The sequence below is a fragment of the Homo sapiens genome, chromosome 18 (genome assembly GCF_000001405.40).
Source record: "Homo sapiens chromosome 18, GRCh38.p14 Primary Assembly".
NCBI lineage: Eukaryota > Metazoa > Chordata > Mammalia > Primates > Hominidae > Homo > Homo sapiens.
In genome coordinates this window covers 63461681-63469793 of record NC_000018.10, presented here as the reverse complement: position 1 = coordinate 63469793, position 8113 = coordinate 63461681, and the positions used below count along the sequence as shown (strand labels likewise).

At 37.4% G+C, this 8113-nt stretch overlaps 1 annotated feature.

Moving 5' to 3' along the window:
• Positions 1410-2609: an enhancer, noted in NCBI's record as "BRD4-independent group 4 enhancer chr18:61134418-61135617 (GRCh37/hg19 assembly coordinates)". NCBI's record gives its function as "activates an origin of replication core promoter dependent on BRD2, P300/CBP, MED14 and CDK7 cofactors, and independent of BRD4, by STARR-seq in HCT116 cells {active_cell/tissue: HCT116}" and the evidence as "EXISTENCE:reporter gene assay evidence [ECO:0000049][PMID:35650434]".

Genomic DNA, 8113 nt, shown 5'->3' with positions numbered 1-8113 from the left:
ATAAAATATATGAATATGTGCTATGTGTATATTATATAAAATATATGAATATGTGATATGTGTATATTATATAAAATATATGAATATGTGATATGTGTATATTATATAAAATATATGAATATGTGATATGTGTATATTATATAAAATATATAAATATGTGATATGTGTATATTATATAAAATATATAAATATATAAAATTTATATATGTATATTATATAAAATATATAAAATTTATATATATTATATGAAATATAAAATATATAAAATTTATATATGTATATTATATAAAATTTATATATGTATATTATATAAAATATATAAAATTTATATAAGTATATTATATAAAATATATAAATATATAAAATTTATATATGTATATTATATAAAATATATAAAATTTATATATGTATATTATATAAAATATATAACTATATAAAACATATATTTATATTATATAAAATATATAACTATATATGTTTATATATAATAGCAATTATGAAATATATTTATAATTGTTATATAGAAATATATTGATATGAAATACTTTTTCCTCTAATAAGCACTTAGTTCTATGTGATGTCAGGATCCAATTCAAGAGGAGAGAGAATGCAGGAATTTACAGGCCTCAGAAACACAAAGTCAGCTGGCTTTACTTGGAAAGGGAGGAATTTTGTTTTAATTTTTTAGTTTTTATTTTTCTGGGTACATTGTAGGTGTACATATTTATGGAATACATGAGATATTTTATTACAGGCATGCAATGTGTAATAATCACATCATGGAGAATGGAGTATCCATCCCCTCAAACATTTATTCTTTGTGTTACAAATAATCCAATTATACTCTTTTAGTCATTTTTAAATGTACAATTAAATTATTATTGACTATAGTCACCCTGTTGTGCTGTCAAATGCTAGGTCTTATTCATTCTTTCTAGTTATTTCTTGTACACATTAACCATCCCCATCACCTCCCCACCCCATGGGAAGGGAGGACATTTTCATGAAGTCTTCGAAGGTCATTTGGCAGGGGCGGGGGAGATGTATGAATCAGCCTGTGCTAGGTATGTAAAGCACTGAGCTAGACTCTGCAGATGAGAACTCTGTCCCGGTCTCTGCCTCCTAAAATGGGATTTAAGAGTGAGTCCTTCTATCCAGCAATTTCAATTTCTCCCAGACATGGAGGACTCTGAGATTCACTTGTAGCTCCAAGAGTGCCCCCCATAGAAACTTGAGAACAGACACTTCTTCATGAGTCCCAGTCTGGACTTCTGTCTCTTCACTCACTCCCACATATGAGGGGACTTCAAAAATTCATGGAAAATTTGAATTATAAAGAGAAAAATTAAAAATATAAACTCCGTTTCTCAACGTAAGCTGCATCAAGTTCAAGACACTTTTGTAGGTGGTAATATCAGCCATGTAGTCCATCTCTGAGGAAAGCAGAGTCCTGGGAATTTGTGTCAATGCAGTCCCTTTTTTATTATTGCTGAAGAAAAATGGCTGCCCTTTAAAGATTTTTGTTGTTGTTGTTGTTGTTGTTTTACAATTAGGAAACAAAAAGAAGTCAGAAGGAGCCAAATTAGAACTGTAAGGTGGATGCCTAATGATTTCCCACGGAAACTCTCGCACACGTCCCCTCATCTGATGAGAGGAACAAACTGGAGCATTGTCATGGTAGAGAAGGGCTCTCTACTGAAGCTTTCTCTGGTGTTTAAATAACATTTTGGCTGATTTTCTCAGAATGCTCTCAAAATAAGGAGATGTAATGTTCCTTGGCTCTCCAGAAAGTCAACAAGCAAAATGCATTGAGTATCCCAGAAAACCGTTGCGATAACCTTTGCTCCTGACCAGTCCACTTTCGCTGGCCCACTTCTGTCTCTTGGTAGCCATTGCTGTGATGGTGCTTTGCATTCAGGGTCATACTGGTAAAGCCATGTTGCACTTCCTGTAACAGTTCTTCAAAGAATGCTTCAGGATCTTGATCCCACTTGTTTAAAACTTCAATTGAAAGCTCTCCTCTTGTCTGCAGCTGATCTGGCTGTAACAGTTTTGGCACCCATCGAGTAGAAAGTTTGCTCAGCTTTAATTTTTCAATCAGAATTATGTATGCTGAAGCACCTGAGATGTCTACGGTGTTAGCTATTGTTTGTGCTGTTAATCATTAGTCCTCTTCAATTAGGGCACAAACAAGGTGAATTTTTTTCTTCACAATCTTCAATATCTTCTCATCCCTACTTAAAATGAGTTATCTATTTGTAAACTGCTGATTTCTTTAGGGCATTGTCTCCGTAAACTTTTCACAGAGCATCAGTGATTTCACCATTCTTGCACTCAAGCTTCACCACAAATTTGATGTTTGCTCTTGTTTCAATTTTAGCAGAATTCACATTGCTTTGATAGGGGCTCTTTTCAAACTGGTATCTTTCTTAGCACTTCAAACTAGATCCTGTTTAGACATGTTGTAACTAGTTAGTATGAGTTTATTTTGATACAAAAAAATTGAAATCCATGCATTGTTTTTGCATGATACACATTTTTGATGAACTTTTTGAAGACCCCTTTATATTATTTGCATTCATGCCTGGTTCCTGTCTAGACCCTGAGCCATGGGGAGGCCAGGGACCACAGTTTATCTGTACATCCCTACTCCCTCTCCTAGAACTCACAAAGTTCTTTTCACACTACACATTAAATAAACTTGTCCTAGTCTAGTAGTAGAAACCAATCAATTACCTCTCACAATGTCATAGTGCAGACAATGATTGTTAGGACAGGAGGTGGTGTCCATGATAGATGGTGTTGCTATTTTAATATCTTGAATTATAAAGAAAGAATTAAACATTACAGCAAGTAAATCAAAGGTTTATTTTTTTATCCAACTAGATAAAGATCCTTATGCTAGTGGTCCTTCAACATCACTGCACATCAGAATCAAGAAGGAATAATGTGTGTGGAGGACAGGTGAAGAAGTACAATCAAATTTCACATTTCCAGACCCCAATCCTCAGAGATCTGGGATTTAGAGGTCTAGGGTGAGACCCAGGAATGTGAATCCCTTTGGGTGGTTCAGAACTGGTTGTTCACAGACCACACTTTCAGAATCACAAGCTTCTGGCAGGTTCTGCACTAACCACAGTTGGTCCAATGGTCAGCGCTGATTCTAGCATGAGACTGGCTGGTTCCCACTCTGCCATTAATGACACCATGGCCTTGAACAAATTAGTACATTTCACTTTGCCTCAGTCCTTTCGTCTGTAAAATGGAGGTGACATTAGCAATTCCTCATAGGGTTATAACAAGGACACAATGAGATAATACATGCTAAAGGCTTAGAATATTGCCTGCCACCAGTAAATGTTCAAAAAATGTTAACTGTCATGATTTTTGTACTCTAAAGGCTGTAGTGAAGTTACAAACCTCAGAGAGATTGGTTTTACCTCAATAGTAGGGATAGACAGAAAATTTTTTGTCTGTATTTGTATTAATATATTTCAAGATTTTTTAATTGGAAGAAAAACTGATAGTCTTTAAAGCTTGAGAAGAATTAAGAATCATTAACCATATCACATTCACACACACACACACACACACACACAATTTATGTGAAGTTTTCACTTTCTACCTTTGGGTTATGGTGTCTTATAACATGAAAAACAAGAATAAAATGAAATTTACTCATAGTGAGAAAGGAGATTAAGATTTCAAAGAGTGGAGTATACATTTAATAGTTCAAATTAAATAAATATCATTAATATGACCAACAACACATATTAGCATAATTATGGTGCTTTGCAGTTTATTAGTTGTTATTGTTTACCCAGCCTTTTCTTCAAAGCAATTATATATGTATTATCTCTTTCAAACCTCACAATAAATCAGTCAGTTATGTATTATGATCTCCATTTTACAAATGAGAAAAGTGATATTAGAAATTTAAGTAATTACTAGTAAGAAATAAAGTCAAAGTCACATTCAGAACTCAGTGAGATGGTACAAATACCATACTGCCTTCCATTGTCTAAAAAAAAAAAAAGACTGGAGGCCGGGTGTGGTGGCTAATGCCTATAATCCCAGCACTTTGGGAAGCCGAGGCAGACGAATCACTTGAGGTCCAGAGTTCGAGATGAGCCTGGGCAACATGGTGAAACCCCGTCTCTACTAAAAATACAAAACTTAGCTGGGCATGGTGGCATGCACCTGTAATCCCAGCTACTCAGGAGGCTGAGGCAGGAGAATCACTTGAACCTGGGAGGCAGAGGCTGCAGTGAGCTGAGATCACATCACTGCACTCCAGCCTTGGCAACAGAGCAAGACCTTGTCTCAAAAAAAAAAAAAAAAAAAAAGAATGGAAGAAAATGAATGAACCAAAGGTAATTCTCTCAAGATTTATTATCAGTTTCCTTTTCAAAGGAGGTTTTGAAGGGGAAGCCCAAAGACTCAGCACGAAGCCAGACCACCATGTAGACTCACTTGGTCCACACCATGCTCACCCCCCTGAGGAGAGCATGACTGGTGTCCATGGTAGATGCCTTCCTGGAGTCCCTCATCATGGAGCATACCCCTAACTGAATTATATATGTCACTTGCTAGGATGGCAAAGATGGTTCATTTTCTCTTCTTGTGTCACATAATGTGTCCTTGATATTAGTCATAAACCTACTTTTCACAAGCTCTTGTATTTCAGGAGTTGATGAGCAAACCAGTGTTTCCCTACTGTCATCAGTCACGACACGAAGATATCATTAGCCAGGGAGGAAAGAGCCAGAGGAAAGTGGGGCATGTCTGAGTGGATTCATGGCAGGAGGAGGCTGTGTAAGAGGGACAGGACCTCTCCCATTCCATTTTCCCTGTCCAAACGATTACAAGAATGTCTCTAAGTAGCTGAGCAACCATAGAATCAATGCTAGCTTGAAGTTAAGGAATGAGAAAAACTAAAATGAAATGCAATTCCTTTAAATTAAAAAAAGCCAATTAATAGGTTATTAGCACATGAGTTAAGAATTAAATAGAGAGGAGAGGCATAAGGTGCAAACTAAACAGAGATTTCTCGCCCAGTAATGGGAAAACTGACACCTCATGCCAGAAAATGAGCACAAAGAGCAATGTGGCATTTGAGTCATGAACTAAAAGTCTACAGTACATGGAAGGTGTTAGCCTTTCTTTTCAAGGAGGAGATAAATTGCCAAGTCATCATAAAGCTCACCAAATGGGTTTTAGTCTAGGAGATGTTGTTAGGTAACAAATAAGAAAAATCTAGGCCAGGCACAGTGGCTCACACCTGTAATCCCAGCATTTTGAGAGGCAGAGGTGGGAGAAATGCTTTAGACCAGGGGTTCAAGACCAACCCGAGCAACATAATGAGACCCCATCTTTACAAAAAATTTAAAAATTAGCTGGGTGTGGTAGCACATGCCTGTAATCCTAGCACTTTGGGAGGCCAAGGTGGGAGGATCACTTGAGCCCAGGAGGTTACAGTGAGCCATGATCATGCCTTGCCCTCCAGCCTGGGAGACAGTGCAAGACCTTGTCTCTAAAAACAAAGAAACACAAATGAATGTCAGAAAGAGGTTTCCAGGTTTCTTCCTTTTGGAAACACCTTCTATTGATTGAAGGTTTCCCCACACCAGCACCACCTACAGTGGGTTTGGTGCTGATGATGCAAACTTACTTGAGGACCAGGTGATTATGGGCTGTTAGGGCAATTGTTCTGGGTGGAGAACACAAGTTTTGTATGTTCCAGCTCCAAGATGTTGAAATTATTTTAACTTCAACATCTCTACAGTGGAAAAGTCAAGTACCAGCCCAGATGTTCAGAAGACTGAGTCCCAAGAATTATATGATCTCTTGTTTGATTCAGGCTCACAATTACCTGGAGTCTTTCAGCACAGACTATGTTCCAAGCTTAGTATAAATATTAATATTATCTTTGCTGTATATAAGAGGTAATCAGTGTAAACTAAATTGTTCTAACCCGGAGGAAAAAGAAAACAACTGTCATCTTCCAACTGCCTGCTGTACAGTAATTGAGAAGTCTGAATCTAGTGAGGAGGTTCCTGTCCTTGTCACAGGACAGAGATATACCGTTGCAAATTGTGTATGGTGCGCTAACAAACATCCACACATCACCTGCCACAGGTCAGGCACTACAGCATCAAATACTTCATTGATAATGCCCATGCCACAGCGTGTCTTCAAGTCTCCACACACTGCACAACTCCTGGCATCAGAACAGAGTCAGAGATCCCCAGTTCCCTTTTCTCTGGCTCTCCCTGGACCTCCCTTCCTCAGGATGAAATTAAAAATCAAGCCACATATAAATTACAATCTCATTTCTCATGGTGACGCCCTCTTAGCTCGGGGCAGGTGGCTTTCATGCCTTCTTTAAGTCTCCATTTTCTTATCTTTAAAATGAAGTTAATAACACCTACTTCTTTGGGGAGATGGGAGAAATAATTAGCCCTGAAATGCTTTGAAGATGAAAAGTGCCACATTATTCTTTGTGCTAATTTTCCGGCATAAGGTGCCTAATTTCCCATTAGCATTGGCATGTTCTTCAGGAAAACCAAGGATGAGACTCTACTAAAAGAGTTTGTATGATTAATTATTGGCAAATGGACCAGCATCATCATATCGTTTTTGCATTCTCCTACTATCTTAAAGAACACAACCATCCAGGCACAGTGGCTCACGCCTATAATCCCAGCACTTTGGGAGGCTGAGGTGGATGGATCACTTGAGGTCAGGAGTTCAAGACCAGACCAGCCTGGCCAACATGGTGAATCCCGTCTCCACTAAAAATACAAAAATTAGCTGGGCATGGTGGCATGCACCTGTAACCCCAGCTACTCAGGAGGCTGAGGCAGGAGAATCACTTGAACCTGCGAAGCAGACATTGCAGTGAGCCGAGATCACACCACTACACTCCAGCCTAGACGACAGAGCCAGACTCTGTCTCAAAAAGAAAAAAAAGAACATCATCTCCTAACCAACTTATTGTTTTGAAAACCAGTGCAAAATAGAAAGAGCCCAACATTTGTTTTGCTTTTTCTCTACAAATCTTAAATAACTAAATAGTAGATAAGGAGAAGTTTTCTTTCTGTAGGTATATTTCAGCTAATAAATATGGAAGAAATGATAGGAATACAACCCCTAATGAATTCATATATTTTAGGCTATACCTAAAATATTTTAGGCTGATACCATCTCAAAAGGAGACACAATCAGATATTGTCTATTTTTTGGTGGAAGCTCACAGCATTGTCTTTGAAGTAGTCTAAGCAAAACAAATTGAACCCAAATATGATCAGGTTTCTGGATCTGACTACAAATTTCAGGAAATATAAAGAACAGAGGAGCACTTTAAACTATACTACAAGATTCAGTCAAAAAAAATTCAGATTATAGGAAACTTTATAAGCATACAACCTGTTTTCTTCAACAATTAAACTTCAAGGACAAAAAAGAGTTCAAAGGGGAACTTATACATTCAACTAAATTTATGAGATGTATCAAATGATCACAAGTATTTGGATCTTGCTTCACCCTAGCCATAAAACAAATTAATGAGAAGACCAAGGAGATTTATTGATGATACTAATAAGCTGATATAATTTTTTCAAGTGTAATAATGATATCAGAGTTATGATTTCTTAAAATCCTCCTCGATTTAAGATAACTACTAATATTTTTTACAGATAAAGTGAGGGTTCATAAAGTATTTTCTCTGTGTTTGAAATGTTTCATAACAAAAGTTTAAAAAGGAAAAAAAAGGCCAGGCCTGGTGGCTCATGCCTGTCATCCCAGCAGTTTGGGAGGCTGAGGCAGGCAGATCACTTGAGCCCGGAGTTTGAGACCAGCCTGGGCAACATGGCGAAACCCTGTCTCTACAAAAAACATCAAAGTTAGCAGGGTATGGTGGCATCTGCTTGTAGTCCCGATTACTGAGGAGACTGAGATGGGAGAGTCACTTGAGCCCAGGAGACTGAGACTGCAGTGCTCCATGATCACGCCACTGCATTCCAGACTAAGCAGCAGAGCAAGATCCTGTCTCAAAAAAGAGAGAGAGAGAAAAGAAATTGCAATTTTTAAAAAAAAAGGAAGATGTAAACAG